At 39.1% G+C, this 24663-nt stretch overlaps 2 long non-coding RNA genes across 2 annotated transcripts in view, besides 1 other annotated feature; one reads left to right on the forward strand and one right to left on the reverse strand.

The window, feature by feature from the left end:
• Positions 1–24663, reverse strand: part of LOC105374060 (uncharacterized) — a 302423-nt gene that overhangs the window by 123164 nt on the left and 154596 nt on the right. The window lies entirely within an intron of this gene.
• Positions 3994–4043: an enhancer, noted in NCBI's record as "active region_20290". NCBI's record gives its function as "activates an Ori minimal core promoter by ATAC-STARR-seq in GM12878 lymphoblastoid cells {active_cell/tissue: GM12878}" and the evidence as "EXISTENCE:reporter gene assay evidence [ECO:0000049][PMID:35858748]".
• Positions 10194–12583, forward strand: LOC101926968 (uncharacterized). Its single transcript, NR_135573.1, has 2 exons — positions 10194–10350; positions 12288–12583. It is a non-coding gene; the product is annotated as an uncharacterized LOC101926968 (long non-coding RNA).

A 24663-nucleotide genomic window follows, 5' to 3' on the forward strand; every position in this document is an offset into this window, starting at 1 on the left:
CTGGAAACGTCTGTGACTATCTGAACTAATAGAGTACAACATACAGGACACGCTATGACTTCTGAGACTGGGCCATACAAGATGATACAGCTTCTGGCCAATGAGCCCTCTGTCAAGGTTGCTCGTCCTTGGAACCCAGTCATCTTGCTGTGGAGAGGCCACATAGAAAGGCCCAGAAGGGCTGGATGCGGAGGTTCACGCCTGTAATCTCAAAAATTTGGGAGGCCAAGGTGGGTGGATTACTTGAGGTCAGGAGTTCAAGACTAGCCTGGCCAACATGGTAAAACCCCATGAAAAAAATGAAAAAAGAAAAGAAAGAGACAAGGAGCAATTCTGAGGCCCTGGCTCTCAACCCTAGCCAAGATCCCACTAGTGATATGCTATTAAATGTTGAACCACCAACTCTTGTCGGTGAGATTGTGTGTGTTAGGAGGTAGAGTGGGGCTGGAAACTCTTGATTGGTAGCATTTGCCAATTCCCATAGTGTAAACAAATACCTCAGGCCGGGCGCAGTGGCTCACACCTGCAATCCCAGCACTTTGGGAGGCTGAGGATGGATCACAAGGTCAGGAGTTCGAGACCAGCCTGGCCAATATGGTGAAACTCCATCTTTACTAAAAATACAAAAATTAGCCAGGCGTGGTGGCGGCCACCTGTAGTCCCAGCTACTCAGGAGGCTGAGGCAGGAGAATGGCATGAACCCGGGAGGCGGAGGTTGCAGTGAGCCAAGATCGCACCACTGCACTCCAGCCTGGGTGACAGAGCAAGACTCCGTCTCAATAAATAACTAAATCAATAAATACCTCCACCGTGACTAATTTCAAACTACAAACATGATACCACTGGAAATGAATTTGAGAAATAGATGCACACAGTCGGCTTTGTGAATCAATATATGCCAGATCCAGCACAGCACTGCTCACAGCCAACAGCCTTCACTGGCTCACCAGCTATGTGAGTGAATCAGGTCCAAAGTGGATATTCCAGCCCTTAGTTGAGCTGCCACAGCTGACTCCACATGGAGCAGAGGTATGTCTTTCCTTCCAAGCCCTGCTCAAATTTTAGGTTTATGAGAAAAATAAATGACTGTTGTCATTATAAACTACCAAGTGTTGGAATAATTTGTTATAAGGCATGAAATACTAATTTAAATAAATAAAGGTGTAGGAGGTGAAGTAGAGAAAGTCTCTGAGATGAACTTGGGGTTTTCTGAATGATTGGAAAAGCAGTTATATATTTGAAGCTAAGGAACCTGCAGCTAAAATGTGTAAGTTTGAAAACCACAATTGTACATTAAAGAAAAGTAAATAGATAACAGACATTAGGTGATTATCTGATTAAAGTAATTCACACTAAGATGTTACTGGAGCCCAGCTTAACCTCCAAGGGGATGTTCCCATTTTAAAAGAAGAGGGTAATAGAACAAGTTAGTAGTTCTCAAGCAATGCTAATCTGAGGTATTTTGTTGCTGAAAGCAAATAATGGTAGCTGCTTATATCTGAATTCACAATGAAAAAAAAAGATTTCAATGAAGTGAATTTTCTCGATTTGTTTGTTCCATGGAAAAACAGTTTTCTTAAATTTATTTTACTGCTACAGTTTTGCTGTTGGTGAGTCTTAGCAAATGACAGGACAAATTATTAAGTACTATGTTAATATTAACAGAAAAACTTAGAATCATCCTTAGTTCCTTGGCCTGTGTGATTATGGAAGTGATTTCATATTGCAGTTTATGATACAGTTGTATTTTCTGCTGGTTAAGTGTCCTTAGTTTGCAAATGGAATTAAGTATATCAATATTTCATGGAGTTCTTCTGAGAACACTACTTCCTCCAGGTGTTTTGCCAACTAATCAAGATTAAGAACCATGAACTTAAATGAATCTGTCATTAGTGGAATATAAGAGGGGATATTTTTTAACAGGGTGGGAAGCCTCACTTTGCGCTGTCCCTGCTCTGAATATCTGTCATGCCTTTACCACAGGACAGGAAGAACAGTTATCAGCAACTTAGCTGATAACTCACGTCTGAATGGCTTACTATCCTGGTCCTAAGGCAGCTGAAAAAAGCCAGATTTAGCTGGAAGACACAAAACCATGTGGTAGTCCAAAGAGAAGCGTGATTGTAAGATTAGATCGCATAAATATAAAATAAAAATTATATTCAGTCTAGAGATGAAACTAGAGTGATTGAGAACAATTAAGAAAAGTGAGAAGAGACCCATATTAGTAACCCCAGTTCTGTCATGCTTGGCTGCTTTGAGAAAGTGTGTGTGAGAGAGAGAGAGAGAGAGAGAGAGAGAGAGAGAGTGTGTGTGTGTGTGTGTGTGTGTGTGTGTGTGTGTTCTACATCGAAGTTCTAGAGAACTATTTCTCAAACAAGACTATATGAATAAAATAACCTATCTGTATATGAAAAAGTCAGCCAATTTCAGAAAAAAGCACTCCCTTGATATTAGACTTATAAACAAAAATTATAAAATGAAAATAGAAGGCATAACGCTGACTAGTGTTATAAACCTAATATATAAACCTAAATATAATTGCCATGGTAGATTATGATGGTTAAATTTTCCAATATCTGGGCCTCCTAATAAAAATGCTAGTTAGCCAGAGGATTTTGAGTTTGCATAAAATACAAGGATAATTATTGATATTTTTTGTTTTATATTCCATCCATTTCCAAAATGAATTTGAGGCACACTCCTTTTCTAGACCAAAGTTGACTCTCTCTCTTTCTCATAATATAACAAGATCAAGAAGTCTTGATAGCTTCTTTTCTTTGTCACTTGATGCTCTTGAATAATTCAAGGTACTGACAAAACCAACCTCCTCCGAGCTTCATAATCCACTGCTCTTCAGTCCTATTCTAGCACATATTTGTGCTATAGCTAGCTTTTTTTCTAGCCCTGGATATCCTTGAAGGTTCTTTTTTGTTACCTGAAAAAAAAATTAATTTCAGCATCAAGGCCAGGGGAGAGAAGTAGAGGGTGAGGAGGAAATTGGTATCCCCTGCCTTCAAAGGAAGCCCCTGTCAAAGATTTAAAAACAAAACAAAAGCTTTTGTTGGCAAGAGTGAGATAATACCCACCCCTGTACTCATACTACTATCGGCCTAAATGTGACAGAGCTTTAAAGTTGCCCTTATCCTTTGACCCAATCATTTAAAATCAAGGAATGTGGTCTAAACAAATTTTAAAAAAAAAAATTTTTTAAATGTAAAAGCATATTCTTATTGCTAGGTATAATTTATAAAAATAACATAAATCCCAACAATATGAGAAGTTTAAATACATTCTACTATATCTATGTTATAATAATCCACAACACTCTATATACAGTATAATTCCATTTGTGTGTTTGTGTTGTGTGTATATGTGTGTGCACATAGATCAGAAAGAAATAAGTAAAATTCTTAACAGCAGTTATTTCTGGCACAACAATTGTGATATTTCTATTTTCTTGCTTACATTTTTCTATGTTTTCTAAGTTTTCTGCAGAACAGATTTTATTTTTATAATCAGAAAAAAATGATATATAAATAAGTTGTCCATTCATGCCCTTACAAATCAATCAAAATACAGGAGTCTCTGAATTACTCCTGAAAGCTGACCCTCCCTGGATTTACTGATTTCCTTTAGTTTTTTTTTTTTTTTTTTTTTTTTTTTTTTTTTTTTTTGAGACGGAGTCTCGCTCTGTCGACCCGGCTGGAGTGCAGTGGCACGATCTTGGATCACTGCAAGCTCCGCCTCCTAGGTTCACGCCATTCTCCTGCCTCAGCCTCCCAAGTAGCTGGGACTACAGGCGCCCACCACCACGCCCAGCTAATTTTTTTGTATTTTTTTAGTAGAGACAGGGTTTCACTGTGTTAGCCAGGATGGTCTCGATCTCCTGACCTCATGATCTGCCCTCCTCTGCCTCCCAAAGTGCTGGGATTACAGGCATGAGCCACCGCACCCAGCCGATTTCCCTTAGTTTTATATTTATTTTTCCTTCACGACTCCTGCCTCAGTGCTTCCTGCTCCTGGGGACTGGATCCCTCTCTGTCTCAGTGCAGAACAGCAGAAGTGCATGGCTGTCTCTCATTCATCGAAACTGCTACACTCTACTTTCTGCTTGTCCTTGGGTTTTATAAGCCAGGTGCACTTTCTCTTTCTCTCTCTCTCCCTTTGTGCAGACCTTTACCAAGCAAACATTCTGCCTCTAATAATGCTCTTTTTTTCTTTCCACCACAAAACTTCCAGGAGCCAGTTTTCTTCCTGGGCTCATTTGTGTGTGTGTGTGTGTGTGTGTGTGGCCCTTCATCTTATATATAGCAAGAGACCAAGAACGTTCATTCATACCCTTTGACCCAAATATTTAATTTCTGGGAATACAGCCCAAAGAAAAAATTCAAAATGTGGTGGTGGCAGAGTAGGATAAACTATGAAATATTCACCATAGCATAATTTTTAATAGCAAAAATTAGAAGCAACCCAAGTGGCCCACAATTGGGAAGTAATTAAGTAAAACTAGGCATATCCATAAAGTAATTTTTTTTCAAAATAATAGCCATTAAAATTAATGACTAAGACTAGGTGGCAATTGGGTAAATGTTTAAATATAATTTTAATGAGAAAAAACAGTACTTAACTTCAAATCTAAGTAAAAGGGTAAAACGAAACATAGAAGGATAAACAGAGATTATAAAGAAAAGCATTTTTCCTCTAGTTAGTTACTTCACTAGTTTGGAACCCCAATCTAAAGGTACATATGAACAGTTCTAAAAGTTCTGGTATTGAAGGATCTTACCACCAGCCCATGAGCTGAGACGAAGTTTCCTTCCTTCCCACTCACCTTGTCCCTGCAGGACAATGGTGACTTATTTCTAGTAAAGACAAAGTCAGCTCTATGTCTAAACGTGGTGAAGTGTCTCCTTCCTTCCCATCCAAATGCCTCTAAACAAAAAACCTCTGAAGACCAAAATTTAGTACTGTTTCATCAACGATTTGTGACTCAGTGCCTACCACTGGATCTGCCTGCACCCCTGGCACTATTCCTACCTGCTATGGCTGTGTCTGGTACAATGGAGCTGGCAAGACAGCACGGACCTCTGACTCCCAGTAGGGCAGCCCTGCAGGGAGAGGCCTCCCACTACCTCTCAGAGCTAGTACCTCTTGTCTGGCTCTTCCAGAAGCCATCACTACAAAGGGGAGAGGGTTCAGTAAGGCTGCACTCCCTTTGACCAAGGCTGTGTTTTCTCTACTACCAGAAGGGTCCCTGTATTCTTCTAGTCACTCATATCACCGCCGCCAGACCCACTGCCTTCCCTGTGCTCCACTTGCTCCTTAACTTTGTTGCTCTAGTCTCCCTTCCATTAGGAAGTTATTAAAATCTCCCATAAAGGCAGCTAACCCTTTTTCTATTTCTCAAGGTGCATGTGTCTAGGAAAAGACAGGAGTACTTCTCTTCCCTGTTGAGGCTTCCCCCAAGTGGATGGCTGAAGAAAGGCAGTTCGTTCATCCTGATAGAGCTACTGAGGCTAACGGCAGTGAGGTGAGCCCTCTTACTCCCTTTCTATCAGTGAGTTCAGGGGACACAAAAACCCCATGTAAGAGGTGTGCACCTGAACAAGCAAATCCACATGCATCATCACAAGGTCATTTTCTATGTTGCAAAAATTCCCCAGCCTTCCAGCAACAGGAAAACTCCTCATTAACGAGGCTGTCTTAAAGTCCCAGGAGGCATATAGAAACTGCCTTGAAGGCATTCACTGGTTACCTTACTTGCATTTTTCCCAGGGAAGGCAGTCTTCCTTGGGTCCAAAATAAGATTTTCCTAAAATCCTGAGCTGTTATAGAGTCCCAGGTTCCACATATACACATTTTATTTTGAAGTTTAGAAACTACATGTGCATTAAAAATGAGTTGGAGGAAACGTATCTAAATGGTCATACCAACTGTTAGAGTGGTGAAATCACAGATGACTTATCTCTTGAAATCTTTATTTTCCAAATTTTTATGTTTACTTTTTCAACCTAAAACATAGAGGGCAAATAACACAAGAATGTCTCAAGATCCTCTCAATTGATCAAAACTCCCTATAAAACCAAAATATTTCTTCTATTTGATTTTTGTTTCATTTTCTCCAATTTCTTTCTTTCTCCTCTCTGGTGAGAGTATTTAATTGTGGTCTCATCCATCTATCTTTGCATCCATCCATCTGACCGTCCATCCGTCCATCCATCCATCCATCCATCCATCCATCCATCCATTCATGCCTCTTCTTTCCATTCCTGCCTTAAAGGAGCCAAGCAGGGAAGTCACGAGTTGCCTTTAAAAAAAAAAAGAAAGAAAGAAACGTTCAGCAGCAGCCAAGCAGCCAGAGGCACTAATGTGAGAAGCTGGAGAAGGTGTCGTTTTGCACTCAAACTGACATTTAAGCTGTTTCATAAATATGAAATCAAACTTGAAGGTCCAGATGGGCTGCCGCCCCCTCCGCCTTTTGCTGGAATGACATGCTATTTACCAGCCTCAGAAAGGGGGACTGAGGAATGAAACTTCCAGATGATGAGTCACAGAAGAAAATGATTGATGAGTGATGAATGAACTAGTGTTTTTTTCATGCAAGAATCAGGAGAGAGTTTCTGCCCGATGGACAGTGATCACCGACGCGTAGTGTAGCCACAGTCAGACTGTGACAAGGAGCAAGGTGGACACATTTCCCAGGTGCTACACAGAGTAGACAGTACAAGTCACAGCTTGTCACTCACTCACTCACACATACATGGAGGCATTTCCAAGAGGGTCACTTTTATTCTGGGTGATTCCATAGCAGCAGTTGTTCCATATCATATATGCATCATAAAAAAGAGTATCACATGAAGCCAAGTATAAAATTTGAGTTTTGGTGACATAGGCATCTGTCAGGATCTTGGAATCCCGGAGTGTTTATGACTGCAGTACCCCGCCAAGTGCTTCCTACAGCACTGTTTTTGAGGTGAGCATTGCAGAACCTTGTCTGCCTCTCCAGAGCCCTGTGGAGCTGGAAGGGATGAGGAAGGCAGGGATTTTGGAGGCTCCACTGCCACTTCTGCAACATCAAGCCATGACCCAGAAAGATACCTCCTATTGCTATGCTGCAAAGCTACAATATGCTCCCAATTTAGAGAGATGGAATGTGGTTCTCCATCATTCTGGAGGACTCTCAGGGATGTCTTGGCATTAGTCTCTGATTATTCCTTGTAACTCAAGTGTTTCACTTTTCTGAAGAATAAACAAAGAGACAGCTTGGTTTATTTTATAGCTATTGCTGTAAACCAAGGAAATCACTTTTAATTCCATTTCAATTACAGAAAGAAGATTTTGATGATGTCCATAAGGTGACATTTTCTTCATCATTTGAAAGATAAGAATTTGAGGTTGAGCAGGGCACTTTCTTCAATGAAACACACGGTGGTGATTTGCAGGCATTGGCTGTAACCTTGACCCATACATTCTCGTGATTGGGCGGAACAGATTTTTTATAACAGGACAGATTCCAGCTCCAGCTTGTTTGCTCTAATTCTTTGGAATCACCACCTTTGTATGTACCTGAGCATCCAGATGAGAAGAGCCTTTGTTATGTTTCTATAGATTGAGGTTCATGACAAGCAATATCAGAGCTGTTCTACCTCCTTCTTTCAAATGAATTTCTGCAAAATAAAGTCCTCTAGACAATGTTAAGGGAGAAAAACCTCCCTCCCTCTGATTGTCCCCAGACCAATCCTTACATAGGCAGCATTGATGTCTCTCCTGCTCTGACTCTGCATTGCCCCACCTCTTGCCACCTTTGGGGGATGTGATTAGGTATAAGATGCAAACTTTGCACTTACCTCTGAGCTAATATGTGCTACAAACAAGGTTGGTGGGAGGGGGCATAGCTGCTGAATCTCTAGAAGGAGGATTACGAAAACCTGCAGTGAGGATCTATCCCAGTGGAATAATGAGAAGAGAGAAGGAAGTGCAGAAGTGAGCAATAGGATTTCCTGGCAGAGGCTGTGGCAGGCTTTGTCTCCCTCTCTTAGAGACTTCGGTTATCAGTGGGTCAATGGCATGCTGGCACATAGTGTGTCTTTTTTTTTTTATTGACTCCAGTGAAGAAATTTCTTACCACTGGATAGATGATAGATAGATAGATAAGATAGGGATATCTTTTAAAGGTTGAATCAGAAGATCTCTGTTATTTGGCTTGATTATGGTTTATACGAATTTCAGTTTTCTAGGTTACAATTTTCCTTAAATGGGCCATTGGATTTCTGGCCTGCCAGATTTAAAAATTCCAAATACATTGAAGATGCCCCCCAATTCAGGGCATATAGAATCAAATGTAAAGCTGGTGTAAAGTCAACACACCGCTTAAAGAGAACTGGTCTCTCCTCTGCTATTTCAGATCCTACTAATTTCGTTGAGACACTGGGTCACATTATGGTAACTTCTTCATTGGAAGAAATTCAAAGGCTTAGCAAAAGAAAGTTGTAACTCCCTCGTAAATATTAAAACCGAATTCAATTTAATTTTAAACATTTTCTAATTGGATACTGTGTGCTTAACCCTACACTGGACATTGAATAGGGTTTTAAAATTTTTGTTTTTTTCCTACTTCAGTGCATATATGTTTCCTATTAAAAATTAAATGATAGCACAAGTCAGTAAATAGTTAATTTCTTAATTAGATCATTTTGTAGGACAGTTTGGTGGGGTTTTTTTTTTTTCCATAGTGAGTGTGCAATCCCCTGTGAAGGGCAATAGAAATAACATGGGATAACAGGCAGGCTTCAGGGCCAAGTTTACTGTGATCATATTAGAGAAGGTGATTAGAAAGTACTCTGATCACACCAGACACATCCCAAAATAGAAGAATTAGCTGCAGTGAAGAAAGATCTAAAATTAAGTGCTTCCCCAGGTGGGTAGTAAGCATTCATGGAAGATGCAGTAATAGACAACAGGTGGGAGCCAAGACAAGCAAATCACCTGAGAGAGATCCTGTGATTACAGATATACCAGTGGAATGGTGGAACAAAATGGCGGAGGTTTTAGAATAAAGCAAAATGCAGAGTAGCTAATAAGAAGTATTGGGAAAATCTGAAGGCTAGAGACAGCACCTCAGCTGTAAGGCTGGTTTATAAGGTCTCTGGGGAATACAGAAAAAAAAAACAAAAAACTAAGGTTTCAACCATAAGAAATTAGGCACTACAGGTATTCAAAACAGGGCATAAGATTTTGGAAAACAAGACAGGGATTTAGTAATTAACCTTGGGGTCCAAAGGCAGGAGGTGGTCTCAGGAATAAGAAAGTCTAATCTAGTGATCAAAGGGCACAATATTAGAGCCAGGCATGCAGAAATAGTAACTAATATTTATGCACCACACTGCATAGTTTTGAAGTATTTTTACATTGTATGGGTTCCCAGGTCATCTATTAAATAAATTCACCTACTATGTGCCAGGAACTGTGGCAGAAAAGAAGAATCCAGAGATGAAAAAGACATAGCCCCAACACTTAGAGGAGAATGGTCAAGTGGGAAAGACTGATAGGCAAACAGATAGAACAGAATGCCATAATTCCTGAACATCACGTATAGACCAGTAAGAAAAAGGAGGCCATCCTGCTCTCTTTCATTTTCCTTCGTCTTTGTTACTGACTGAAAAGCTCAGAAGTGACAGCCTTGGAGCTGATGATAATGACTTAGAATCATTTCACATACTAAAACCCCAGAATTTAAATTTCCATACAAGTGAACGTTTAACTTCTGTCCCACAGGGCTGTGCTTAGAGCAGGGGATCATTTTAAAATTCCATAGAATAGGCCCTGCCACGCAGAGCACCAGAGGACTTGGAGGTGGATGGGCTCTAATGAACCGCGATGTGACTTGGGTAATGTAGAGCTCTGAGGAAAGCCCTCATACAAATTTTGGGTGATTAACTAAATTTTTAAAAAGGATGGAACCTTCTGCTTCAGTGAATGTGGGAAAATTAAGACAACAAAGACATGGGGGTTCAGGCGAAGGGATATCCTAAGATGCTGGGAACTTTGAGTATTTTGAACCCAGTCCCCCTCCTCCCCGAGCCCTTCAACCAAATGTTCTGTTGCTAAGACAACAGGATGCTAGCAGGCATATGCATGTGTCTGCTTCCTGCATGCGGTTGCCTAGCAACAGGACTCAGCAGAGCCTGGGCTCTCGCTCTTTACACCTACCCTGCTCCATCCATTGCCTTGACTTGCCAGTTGCTTTCCCCACCCCCAAGGCAAAGAAACAAGAAGCAGGAGAGTGCAAGAGGCTCAGGATCTGATCTTCTCAACAGCAGGAGAAAACCCTAGCCTGGCTTCACTCAGGTTAACCCCTACACTATGAAGTTATAAAATGTAAACTGACCATTACAGCTGACTGGAAATGAAATGATGATTCGACATTCTTAATATTTGAAATCCGGTTATGGAGTCCTACCCTGTAATCACCAAAGGGATATGATGATAAGGAAAATACTGAACTACTGAGGCAAGATTAATAGAAATATTTTACCCTAGGAATGAGATCACAGGAAATGGGATATTTGGGGGATAAAAGGAAGAAAGGGAAGGGGAGAAAAGAAATTAAGGAGAAAGTAATAAAGAATAGAAAAAAGCAGGAAAGAAAGGAAAGGCTTTTAACTCACAATAAATAATATCCCTTTGGAACCTGAGAGTGTGCAAACTGGAAAAATCTGCAATGTTATGTAGACTAGGATCTGATGTCTAAAATGATAACAATAGAGATTATTGAAGTTCTTTTAAATATAGGACATTACATTAAGGGCTTTACATAGATATTTCCATCTTCACAATAACCCCGTGTGATAAAGCTTAGGAAAGTGATTTTACAGCTTAGACTCAGAACAGTTAAGTGACTTGACCAAGGACACACAGCTAGTAATTGTGGCAAAGCTAACAAAAATAGGTAGCATTCAAACCAAAATTAGTTTGACTCAAAACCCACTCATTTTCTTAACATGTATTATGAGAAGTACCTGAGAAAATATGTGTAAAGCTTGTGAAGTCACACAAATTTGTTAAATTGGGGACCTTTTAAAGAAGCTATAAATATACCTTATATAACATTAAACAAATGTTTTTTCTTCAAAGCTTTAATGCAATAATTTATAAAAGAAAATCATCTTGCCAAGTGGGAAAGTAAAAGCTGGTCCTTTAACAAAGTGTTCAGTAAAAAAGTTTAGAGTCCTTTTGAAGAAGCTGTAGAAAGAAACTCCCGAGTTACTCCCATTGAAAAGAAAGTTCAAATTTTGGAGATGTTTATGAAATTATAGGAAATTGATTATAGCACCAGATGTATACAGAAAAGCAATTGCTCCAGGAAATCAAATAAAAGAAAAATATAAGGTTCCTCTGAAACCTTGGTGGCTTCTAATACGGAACTCCTTCCTGGCAGCAGCACAAAGCCCCTGGCCAGCGAACATGTGGCGAAGTGCTGACAGCAGGGATGGATACATACATATTCAGTGCCCCTTTCTCAGACCCTCAGACCTCCATGCCTACAGAAGACATATGGCATGCCAGTCTCATCATTCAAAAAGATGTGCCTAAGCTTGCCTGACCTAGGCTTAAACCAGTAATTTTACCAGCTACATTTATTCCTTATTCTAAAGGGTGAGTTCAGGCATACTTAGAAAATCCTTTTGTCATATTCATTAATTCCAAAGGTAATAGGCCCCCTCTAAATATTAATAGAGATCAGGCAGACCCTACCTGACTATTAGAGTCAAGATTCTGGTGTCCAGAGTGCACAAACTCAGGTTAACAGGTTAATGGCTTCATCCCTTCCCAAATTTAAAGTATTGTTATCATTATATCATATTACATATGACAGCTATTCTCCAGAAATAACTTGTCTTTGCTTAAGGATCAGGGCCAAATACTCTCCTGTGAAGAGCATAAACCAGAGTAGAAACATAAAGCGGGCATTCCAGCTTTTCTACACAAAGCTATATGAAGTAACTATGTTGCAGAGCTCTAAATAACATAATTCATACAGTAATGCCCACAATGTGTAAAAATGCAATGGACAAAGACTATTGTCCCACAATATCTATTCCATCTTTCTTGTATAGTCACAGAATTTTTAGCTAGGCACATGACCACTCACTCTAAAGTCTGGCCAATAAGATTTATACGCAATTGTCATGTGGCAGTTTTTCTAACTCTTTAAGAAACAGCCATTGTACAAATGTTGCCCCTCTTCTTTTGTTCCTTTCTTTTCCCCACCTACTGCAATGTAGAAGATGTCATCTTGGATTAGAAAAGAGAGAGAGAGCCACAACTTGGATTGACAGAGTATGGAGCCTGAAGGAGCCCAGGTCCCTGAGACACGGTGGAACAAAGCCACTATACTACCTCAGGACTCTGTACAGCCCTGCTTTATATAGAGGAGAAGTAAACTTCTATCTTTTTAAAGCCCCTATTTGTTGAATTGTATTGTCACAGCCATATCCAATCTTAAGGAATATACAAAGATTATGCCATGGCTTTTGTAGCCCAATTGGCTATCTAGGCAAGTAAAATAATCTGAATGATGTATTAGTCTGTTCTTGTACTGCTATGAAGAAATACGTGAGATGGGTAATTTATAAAGAAAAGAGGTTTAATTAGCTCGCAGTTCTGTGGGCTGTAGAGGAAGCATGGAGCATCTCTTGGGCTTCTAGGGAAGTCTCAGGAAACTCACACTCATGGCAGAAGGCGAAGGGAGAGCTGGCACTTCACATGGCCAGGAGCAGGAGGAAGAGAGGGGTTGGGAGGTGCTACACACTTTTAAACAAGAAGATCTCATGAGAACTCTATTATGAGAACAGCAATGGGGGATGGTGCTAAACCATTAGAAATCGCCCTCATGATTCAATCACCTCCCACCAGGCCCCACCTTCAGCATTGGGAATTATATTTCAACATGAGATTTGGGTGGGGACACAGATCCAAACCAAATCAAATGATCTACAGCAGAAAAGAAATCCTGAATAGAAATGAGGATCTGAATTGTCTCAAGACAAGACTCTCCAATTTATAACTGGCAATCTAAAGAACTCCTGTCATTTTCCTTAAGGATATAATTTTTTTCATAGTATACAGAATAAGATGTTGTCCTCAAAAAGAAAGAAGATATTTTATCCACAGGCAAAAACTTGTCTTTTAACATTTACTTGCTTCTCCCTAGATGAGAGAGCCCCATCAGATGCTCCTGAGCATACGCCCAAAATGCACACCCAAAAGGTGTTGTTTCCAAGAAGTGACACCCAAGAGGTGTTGCCACCACAGCCCTTGTACTGATAAGGCAAACCTAAGAGCCACTGGTGAAACTCATCTAATAAAATGAATGAATATAATATGTGACTTAATATCTTTTCAATATTTAAAAGAAATGTGTATACTGAAAATTCATATGATCCACACCACTACTGTCTGATAGAAATATAACACCAGTCACAAATGCAAGCCATAGATGCCTTTCTAACTTTTCTAGTGACCACACTTTTAAGAATCAAAAAGAAACAACTAAATATAATTTTAATAATATACTTTAACCCAATATATCAAAGATATTATACGTTACATACTAATATGATCCATATAAAATACCAATGTGCTTGAAATTTTCTTTTTTTTTTTTTGTACAAAGCCTTCAAAACCCAGTATATATTTTACACTTACAGTACATTTCAATTTAAGCTAGCCACACTTCAGATAGATGTTCAGCAACCACTGTGGCTCGTGGCTACCATACTGAACAGTACAGATCTGGAGTATGCCATTTATTGTTTAGCAGAATAATAACATCTTTGAATGTCTTGAGCCTCTAAAGTTTCTCAAGCCCAACCAAGGCTCCTGCCTTCTTGTCACAATTGTAACTTATGATAAAAAATGAAGGTGACTGTTTGTAAATAGCTACCAAAATGGTTATGCCATTATTACAACTCACAATCATTCAGATCTCACTGATGATGAGGTTCTTCTCTTGTGCTAACTTTATGTCTGTTGCTGCATTTAGCCCTATTCTGGTTCTGTCTTCCACAGAGAAGAGGCACAGTGACCCATAATCCCCACATAATTACTTTGCATGTTAGGAAGCACAGAACTCCAGGGACATGCTCAGTTTACTAAGGTGCAAAGGCGGTAGGGATTTGAAAGAGCCAAATCTAAATCTCAAGGCACTCAGACTCAGTTTCCCTCTGCCATGAGGAGACTCATGACTCCTTCCATTTTCCAGCATAGTTCGAAGGTCACAGACACTGTGAAAGCTTTCCTTTAACCACAATCCTATAATGAATACAATTTCTGACTCTGGGGTCTACTTCTACTTTAGATCTTTAAAAAGAAGAATTCGAAGAAAAAGGAATGCAAGGAGAAAGCTGAAGAGGAGGTGGAAGGAAAAGAAGAAGCAGCAGAAGAGGGAGAAGAGAAAGAAATGTCTGTCTATAGAAGGGAGAGTCACATGATTTGAAGGCTGACATTTGGAATGCAAACCTGAGGAAAATTGTCTACCTCACTTACCTGCCTGGTTGGAAATCCAAGTATCAGTGATACACTTGTTTTGAGATAAACTAAGAGTCCATGCATACCTAGTTAAGATGCAAATAAACCTAGGAAGTGAAATACCAAACCTTCAATTCTTACTACATTTTCATTCATCAAACACAAGCAAATTGGTCAACTCAGCAGGGCCTAGAAAGACAGACACAAATGTTGACAGGCAGGATGGGAAAGATCTGGGAAACAGAAGCCTCGGGCCACCTATGCATTATTGTGATGACCTTGGAGACCTGGAGGAACGGTCACCTGAAGCACAGAGGATGCTGACAAGAGGACAGAGACTGACAAACCTCAACTCTTCCCACTGTCCAGAGCCAGCTCTGCCTAGCATCTCCACTGTTTACTATGACGTTGTGAGTTTGGGTTATCTGTACTTAACTTCTTCAAGATATAAAGAATGTGACATATCCCCAGCACTTCAATTCTTACTTTTTATTAGGATCAGCTGGTCCTCTTTGGGCCCAGTAAGCTTCTAGCCTTCCAGTTTATTTGACTCAATCATAACGAAATGAACCACTAGTTCTTTGGACTTTTAAAATTCAACTGGACAGTCCGTTGAAAGCCTGTGCTTCACAACAAAGCCCAGAAATTTCTGAGTACCAGAAAATGTGAAACAGTTAAAAATTTTTAAAAATAAATGAATGTTGGCTGGGCACGGTGGCTCACACCTGTAATCCCAGCACTTTCGGAGGCTGAGGTGGGCAGATCACAAGGTCAGGAGATTGAGACCATCCTGGCTAACACGGTGAAACCCCGTCTCTACTAAAAATACAAAAAATTAGCTGGGCATAGTGACGGGTGCCTGTAGTCCCAGCTACTCGGGAGGCTGAGGCAGGAGATTGGTGTGAACCCAGGAGGCAGAGCTGGCAGTGAGCCGAGATCGCGCCGCTGCACTCTAGCCTGGGCGACAGAGCGAGACTCCATCTCGAATAAATAAATAAATAAATGTTTATCACTTTCATTATCAACTTGAATTCTGGTTCTTCCCTCTTTTTCCCTTTTCTATTTTCCTTATCCTCATTCTTTGTTTTCTGACAGGGATGCATAATTGTCTATAGGTTCATGGCTGAAAGGCATTGTTTCTCTAAGAAGGTGGGGTTAGCAGAGACACGCATGAACCTGTGATAAAGGAAGGGCAGAAACCCCTGTCCAGCTACATTTCCAGAACCAAGCTCATAAGCTCATAAGAGGCTATTTATTCAGTCATTCAATGGCAATAATTGAGTTGCTATTACATGCCCAATCCTGTGGTCAAAGAATAGTAGTAATAGACATAAGAATACAAATCTGTGTTGAGTGCCAACATGGAGATGCCCCAAGGTAGAGAAGGGGAACAGAGGAAGATGTTGGTTCTGGAAATGTAGCTGGCCAGGGGTTTGTGTCCTTTCACAGATCCAGGGGCCTCTCTCCCAACACTGTTTTCTTGAAGAAACAATGCTTATTGGCCGTGAACCTATACATAGTTGTGCTTCCTGTCAGAAAGCAAAAAAATGAGGATAAGGAAGGTAGAAGAGGAAGAAAGGGGGAAGAACCAGAATCCAAGCTTATTTTACATCCCCTTTTCTAGTTATTCTCAAACAGTGAACACCCTAGAGGTAAAACAAGGCAACTTTAGCTTTTTGGTGCCATATCTTTTTCACTCAAGTGTCCTTGGAAACTGAGGCTATAGTAGTGGCCTTTGGACCAACAGAAAGATACTGTAATGGTCTCAAATGTACTTATTAAAGGAATAGGTCCTCGGTGTGCTATGTCTGATTCTATTCTATTCTATTCTTCTGTTCTATTCTATTCTATTCTATTCTATTCTATTCTATTCTATTCTATTCTATTCTATTCTGTGATTTTCACCTTCATTTCCAACACATAGTCTTGACAAAAGTAAGAAAAGGAGGAGAAAAGGTACCAGTGCATTACAAAAACTGCATTTGAGAATCCTAATGTCCACTTCAAGGTGCAGTCTTCTTGGGTAAACATGCAGTCTGTTTGCATTTAATTCTTCCACACAAGCCCTGCAAGAAAGTTAGCCAAACTGATAATCGATTCACATGATCTTTGCTCACTCATTTATTAAAACACACCAAACAGTTAATTCCCTTTTCTGTTGGGAGCTCTCACTGATTCTACATGGCTTGAATGTTAAACAGCCACTCAGGGCTCTGGGAAAATAGCAGAGTCATTAGGTGGTAACTGTTTCAAACTGTTCAAAACAAGTCTTAGAAATTAAGGGCCTCAATGTCCCTTCAATAAAATTACTTTGGTGAATATTTATTGAACTGATAGCTGACAGATGATAAAGAAGATCTAGCCTGTAATCCCAGTGCTTTGGAGGCTAAGTTGGGAGGATCACTTGAGGCCAGGAGTTTGAGATCAGCCTGGGCAAGATACAGAGATCCCATTTCTACACAAAAAAAAAATTAAAATTAGCCGGACATGGTAGCTACTTGGGAGGCTAAGGCAGGAGGATCACTTGAGCCCAAGAGTTCAAGGTTACAGAGAAGCCATGATCACACCACTGTACTCCAGCCTGGGCAACAGAGTGAGATCCTATTTCAAAAAAAAAAAAAGAGTGGATTGGTCAACTAAAGAACTTGAAAGATCTCAGAAAGCTCTAATTCAGTTGACCAATCCACTTCTTTCTTCCTACTTCTTCTACTTGAATAAGAGAAGAAAGAAGAGTTTTTGAATACCCTTCACTTCTCCAGCTATGGTATGAGCCCATTGGACACATTGGCCAATACCTTACTAATTAACTAATTCCCCACCAAGAGCCTCTATCTCTAGACCGGGAGATAGATATATAGCTGATGATAGATAGATAGATAGATAGATAGATAGATAGATAGATAGATAGATAGATAGATTATATATATATATATATAGCTAGATAGATAGATATCTATAGAGAGATAGATAGATAGATAGATACAGATGCTATAGATATATAGATATAAATCATCCTCCTCTTTAGCCTGGTCCAGAGGCTAACATTAGGGACTCTAAGTAAATTGTGGCACTGGAAGGAAGCCAACAAATTATAAGATTCTATAGGCCAATCCTTTCTCTTCACATATGAGGACTTTGGGCTTCAGCAATTATTTGGTGACCACGCTACGACTCTTAGCCAAATGATTCAGCTCCCAGGGTGATGCTCCAATTCCTCTTGCCCACAAACCTAGATGCAGTGATGAAGACATACCCTAGAGCTTTTCTAAAAAGCTTAGTTTAATTTTCCTACCTCACTGTGGTACAAATGTTAAGCTTTTCCCTGACACTTAAGCTATTTTATTTTATTATTTAATTTTATTTTTCATTCACTCATTCATTGTACAATCATTGATGGAGATCTTATTGTGTGCCATGCATTGTGGTAAGGCCTTAGAAACATCAAAAATAAATTAATACTTTTCAGTATGATGGGGAATATAAATAGGTAATGTAATTAAATTATAATTCAGTAAGTGGTAATGAAGATACTTAAGGCAAAATAAAAATGTGTGGATGTGATAACTAAACAAGAAAACACTAAAGCACCTAGTAACTGCTGAATAAATGCAAGTTTATCTCCTCTGTGCAGTAGTCAACAAATGATAGCTTGCAAACCAACTGTCTCAGGACTGTCTGAGGAGCTTTATTTATATACTGGAGTGCAGCTCCAGAATCTTTATTTTTATTGTTCCCTAGGATGTTCTAACACACAGCAAGTTTTAGGACTCCAGTTTGATCTAAAACAGCAGAAGAAACAACTCTCTGAGGGGCTTTACAGAGGCTTCGTAGAGGAGGCGATACTCAACTAAGTTTTTAAAGATAAGCAGGGATTTCAGACAAGTATTCACGAAGTTATAATGTGGAAAGAAATTATAATTTCTCTATAGTTTTCACATGGTAGAACTAGGACCAGTATATGGGAGGTGGAGACAATTAATGGATACCAAAAAGTGATTAGAAAGATTGAATTAGAAAGATGTTGCTAGCACAACAGGGTGACTATAGTCAATAATAACTTAATTGTATATTTTAAAATAACTTAAAGAATGTAACTTGTTTGTAACTAAAAAAAATGCTCAAGGGATGGATACCCCATTCTCCATGATGTGCTTATTTCACATGGCATGTCTATACCAAAACATCTTATGTACCCCATAAATATGTACACCTACTATGTACTTACAAAAATTAAAAATTAAAAAAATAAAAATATATTTAACAAGTAGTTTTTAGGGAGCTATTTTAAAATATATGACCCACCCCAGAAGCATTCAAGCTGGGTTGGTTGACAAAAACCCCTGGGTCTTTTCCACTTAGTCATGTCTTTTCCATCATCTACCGTGCCTATATTGGCTTTGCCAATGAATGAATAATAAATATAATTGAGTACATGAATAAATGAATGAATACATGCTATTGATTGTTTTCTTTTGTAAAATTGAAGACAGACTTTAAATCTACCCCTATTGTTTATGTTTAAGAAACTGAGATCAAGGGCTTTTGAAATCTCATTCTCAACTAGCTTTTCACACAGAATATGTTCAAAAAATGTTTACAGAGTGCTGACTGAATCTCTATTAAATCCCAGCTTGTTAGTTCTACCCATTGTTTCTAGATTTTTAGTCTCTTTTGTAGCTGAGTCCTGACAATTATAGAGGGAAGTGTAGAGACACTGAGCTCCAAGATCTCTTCAAACTCTGAAACTGATGATGCTATGAATGGGCAGAATTTCTATGAATTCATTAAAATTAAATTGAGCCTATCGAATACACTAATGGCAATCTACTTGTCCTCAGAGGGAAGCTTCAGAGAGTAAAAGAGAAGCTGCTTTTTGTGGTACTTACTCCAGTTCAATAAACAGGTGCTGAGTGTCTCCTCTGTGCCAAGAATGCAGAGTCCAGAGTTGAGCAAAGCATGACCTTGCCTCCAAGAGTTTGCCACGTAGTACTAGTTGTTGCTTTCCTCTGCTAAATATCTACACCTTTAGCCAACCAAACACAGGCCATACCCTTAAATGAAAATTGTTTCCGTGTTTAACTCAGATTTATCATGTGCCAAAAAAAAAGGTGCATGGAATGAAAATGAGATAACAAACAATAATGAACTTTCTCCATAAAAAAGAATAGTTTTTCAGTGCTTGTCAGATTCCTTAGTCAATCCAAGACTTATAACTCAAAGCAAAAAAGAGAGTTACTGAAATAGAGACAACTGAATGTCCCTTTCTACAGAAGTTTTAAGGGTAGATGTGTAAGAAAGTGACTGGCGCATGAGGAGGAAAAGCATTAAGAGACTCAGGCTCTGCACTCCTGACACAGAAGCAGGTGGCTGCACACACGCCTGCTCCTAAATTGCTGAAGCAGTGGCTATTTAGCATCCTCCACTCTACCTCTCCAACCCCAGGACAGCTACCTCTTGGGCACCAAAACATCACCACCAATCAGTGGCCTGACAGCCCTTGTACTTTTCCTGCAAATGAACAATAAAAAGGCTTTGATTCTTTCCTTCTGCAGGTGTCTACCTCTACCTGAGCTCCAACATGTATGAGCTAAAATGATACTATTTGTTTTTGCACAAAATAAGAAATACCAAGGAAAAGTTTAAAAGAGCTACATTTTCTATTGAATAGCGAAGACAAGAATGATTTCTTTATTAAACAAAATTAAATATTTTCCAAGATTTTATCCTTTTCTCTTTAACCCTCTTCAAGTTCAAATCTAATTTTTTTAAAAAAGAACCACCAAATTGATTCTAAGAGAATAATTGCTAAGGCGTGAAAATACCGCCTGTATCCTGGAAACAGGCTATGCCATGGGTCGTTTCTTAATTTTCACCCTATTAGGGTAATTTCCTACCACCGTGGGTTTTTTTCCTGCGGCAGTTCCTGCATGCCTGGCATCCTGGCTCCTTCACAGCTGCTTTGTCAAAGCAGAGGGAAAAGGGACCATTAACATCTTTGTGGAAATAGATGCAACAATGCCACTGTTCTATTAGCCTGCAATAAGGTGAGGACAAGGGAAGGAAACAAAATTGCCACATGAGAGGGCTGGTCATTTTCAAGAACCTGGCTGCTGCGGCTATTTAATTTAACCTGCAATGACACCGTTTATAAATCTAGTACCCTAAAAAGAAAATAGGCAATTCACATATAAACTAAAAAACACAATATGCAAAAAATGTTCAGCCTTCCCAAGTTAAGCAACAAAATGCGAGTTAAAAAAAAAAAGAAAAAATATGACACCATTCTTTGCCTCTTAGCATTTTTTAAAATGATAAAATCAGATGCTCTTGAGGGTCCAGTGAAGTTGATATTTTTATACAATACTGATAGCACTGTAAATTTGAAAACTAGCTCTGGAAAGCAATTTACAATAAGTACTAATGGTCATGAAAATATTCATGCTCTTTGACCCTGTAACTCCACTTACTAAAATCTATCTTAATAAAAGTATAGAAAAAGATGTATCTCCAAATATGTGCATTGCCCTTCCATTCACAATAGTGGAAAAATCAGAAACAATGTACATGTATAGATGAATGGTTGAGTAAATTATAGTTTATCGACTAAAAAGACCATTAAAAACAGCCTAGATCAGCACCTCACACATAGTAGGTGCTCAGTGATGACTGTGTTGAAATGTGTAAAAATACTTATAAAAAAATTAAATGGAAAGTAAAATACAATATGCATGTATGCTTATTAATACTCTGACAATATGTATAAGGAAAAATAGTCAATTTTCTAAATTTTCAGTAATGTATTTTTTAATACTTTCATACTGATTAAAAAATATAAAACTAAATGAATCAACCTATTTCCCTGGATGTTGGTAAGCTGGGAAACCCCTTAGACTGCAGAGTGTAAATATGTATTGCTACTCACCTCTTTCATTCAAGTCAGCCTCATGATAAAAGGAGGCCTAAAGGTCCCACAAAGAAAGGAAGAGTGCACCCGGCTTATGAACAGATATAGAAGACAGTCAGTTCAAAAATGTTACGCTGCAGGTGATCATGATGAAGAAAAAGTGGGTCTTTACTGGCACCATGCAGAACCTCCCAGTGAAAATTCCAGTTGCTTCAAATTCAGTGTGGAAGCTGAGACTCCAGTGTGGATGCACAGACAGCTAAGGGTGATTCCATAAGAACTGCAGAGTGAATGTCAACAAGGCCCTTCCTTCGGGCACTTACAATTAACTCTAAAGATGGGACACCTAATCTGGAAAAGCTTCTAGGCTAGGAAACCTGGCTAGAAGCCTGAATTGGATCCAGTTCTGTATACCATTAACTGTGAAGTTTCAATAAATCATGTAACTTCTGTCTAAATCTCAGTTTCCTCATTGGGTAAAATGAGCCTAATAATCCCTGCCCTGTCTACCTCACACGACTACTAATAAGGATTGAAGGAACAAGTGCAATGTTGTATGAGAGTCCTGTGAACCATGATGTGCCATATCCAGGTAAGGGATGCTACACATCAAGAAAAGAGACCTCAGTTTGCCACTTTATGGCTCATTCTGGGTTTGCCAACTGTAGGGTCTACACAATCAAAAATCAAAGAAACATCCATAAATTTCTAGCCTTTGGATAAAAACTGCAACCCTCTTCCAATACTCCTTTATTGCCCTATGATTGTTACCTGGAAGAAAATTATATAAAACAGTAAGAATGACACACACACACACAAAATCTGTATATAAACACTGGTTATCTACTGAAAATAGGTTCAGAAGTGCAAAGTCTCATTTTCTTCCTTCCGTCAAATCTAGAAAAACCATTAGTGCCACTAAAAAACTATTCTTTGTACCAATGGATATTAGGGCCCAGCTAATAGCAGCTCACGGTCAATGGGCATGAGCAAGTTAAATAATGAAACCCCAGAGAAGCTACAAGAAAGGGAAATATCTGTTATGTGTAAGACATACAAAGTAACCTATAGTCAGTAACTTTCACATAGAGCAGGCACTCTTCAAGTAGCATTCCCTAGAAGTGTATTCTTCCCAACAAAGATCAAGGCTGTCTACAAAGCTCTTACTACTACCACCTCCTCCCAGAACAGCTGAGAAACAAAGGACACATTCCTGAGTAATAAGAATCACACCTTTTGCAGGAAGTGCACTGAAGGACAGGAAATCTCTATTTTGTCTATAAGTACTTATTGAAAAGCTACTAAGTACTGGGGACAAAACAGAGAAGCAGATAGACAAGGTCTCTGCCTTTTGCTCAAGCACCCTTCATTTTGATGTTGTGCAATCTACATAGTAGCAAATTAAGAACACAGAAACATAGTTTAAGAAGTTTTGCAACTAAAGTCCAAATTCTGGGTGGTCATGAAATAATGAAAATTCTCTACTGTTAGAGTAAAAAGTACCAATACAAAGACTTGTCCATTCTGAGGTGGGATGTAAATAGTATGGAATAAAGAAGGAACCACTAGCTGTAGGACACATTCCTGTCAGCATATACTCCTTTCTTGTGACAACAAGAGTTTCCTTTGCTTAAGGATCTGTACTCCCCAATCCTAGCCTGTGTATTTTCAGTGAACCTGACTCCAACCCAAGATATCAGAGGATAGCACATGAATTAGATTAAGCCAATCAGCACATTCTATCCCCCTGGCCACAGTGACTGGCTCAGGGATGGACACTAGACCCATATCAAGTCCATTAAGTCTGAGAAGACTTAATTGTAAGACATGCATTTGGTAATATTCAGGGAATATTTCTGATTTCTTTCCCTCTGGAGATGACCTAAAGAGACACTGAGGTCTTAGATTTAAGTCCTTTTTTTTTTTTTTTTTGAGACAGTTTCACACATGTTGCCTAGGCTGGAGTGCAATGGCACAATCTTGGCCCACTGCAACCTCTGCCTCCTGGGTTCAAGTGATTCTCCTGCCTCAGCCTCCCGAGTAGCTGGGATTACAGGTGTCCACCACCATGCTCGGCTAATTTTTTGTATTTTTAGTAGAGATGGGGCTTCATCATGTTGGCCAGGCTGGTCTCAAACTCCTGACCTCAGGTGATCCACCCACCTTGGCCTCCTGAAGTGCGGGGATGGCAGGCATGAGCCACCACACCTGGCCAGATTTAAGTCTTTAGTCCATTTTGATTTGATTTTATTTGGTTTCTGTATATGGCAAGCAATAGGGGTCTAGTTTCATTCTTCTGCATATCGATTCAGTTTTCCCATTTATTGAAAAGACTTGTCTTTTCCTCAGTGTATGTTCTTGGCACCTTTGTTAAAAATGAGTTCACTGTAGGTGTGTGGACTTGTTTCTGCATTCTCTATTCTGTCCCATTGGTTTATGTGTCTGTTTTTTTGTCAGTACCATGCTGTTTTGGTTACTATAGCTCTGTAGTATAATTTGAAGTCAGGTAATGGGATTCCTCTAATTTTTTCTTTTGGCTTAGGATAATTTTGGCTATTCTGGGTCTTCTGTGGTTCCATATACATTTTAAGATATTTTTTCTATATCTGTGAAGAATGTCATTGGATTTTCATAGGGATTACACTGAATCTGTATATTACTTTGGGTATTATGGACATTTTAACAATATTTATTCTTCCAATCCATGAACATAGAATATTTTTCCATTTTTTTTTGGTGTCCTCTTTAATTTCTTTCATACGTGTTTCATAGTTTTCATTACAGAGATATTTAGCTTTTCTGGTTAGTTCCCAGGTATTTAATTTTATTTGTGACTACTGTAACTGGGATTACTTTTTAACTTTCTTTTTTACATAGTTCACTATTGGCATATAGAAATGCTACTGATTTTTGTATGTTGATATTGCATCCTGCAACTCTACTAAATTTATCAAATCTAATAGTTTTCTTATGGAGTCTTTAGGTTTTTCCAAATAAGACAATATCATCTGTAAACAAGGATAATTTGACTTCTTCCTTTCCAGTTTGGATGCACTTTATTTTTTTCTCTTGTCTGATTGCTTTAGCTAGGACTTTCAGTACTATGCTGAATAACAGTGCTGACGGTGGGCATCCTTGTAATGTTCCAGGTTTTAGAGGAAAGGTTTTCACTTTTTCCCCATTCAGTATGATACTAACTATGGTTCTATTGTATATGGCTTTTATTA

This window comes from Homo sapiens, chromosome 3, assembly GCF_000001405.40.
Source record: "Homo sapiens chromosome 3, GRCh38.p14 Primary Assembly".
Lineage (NCBI taxonomy): Eukaryota > Metazoa > Chordata > Mammalia > Primates > Hominidae > Homo > Homo sapiens.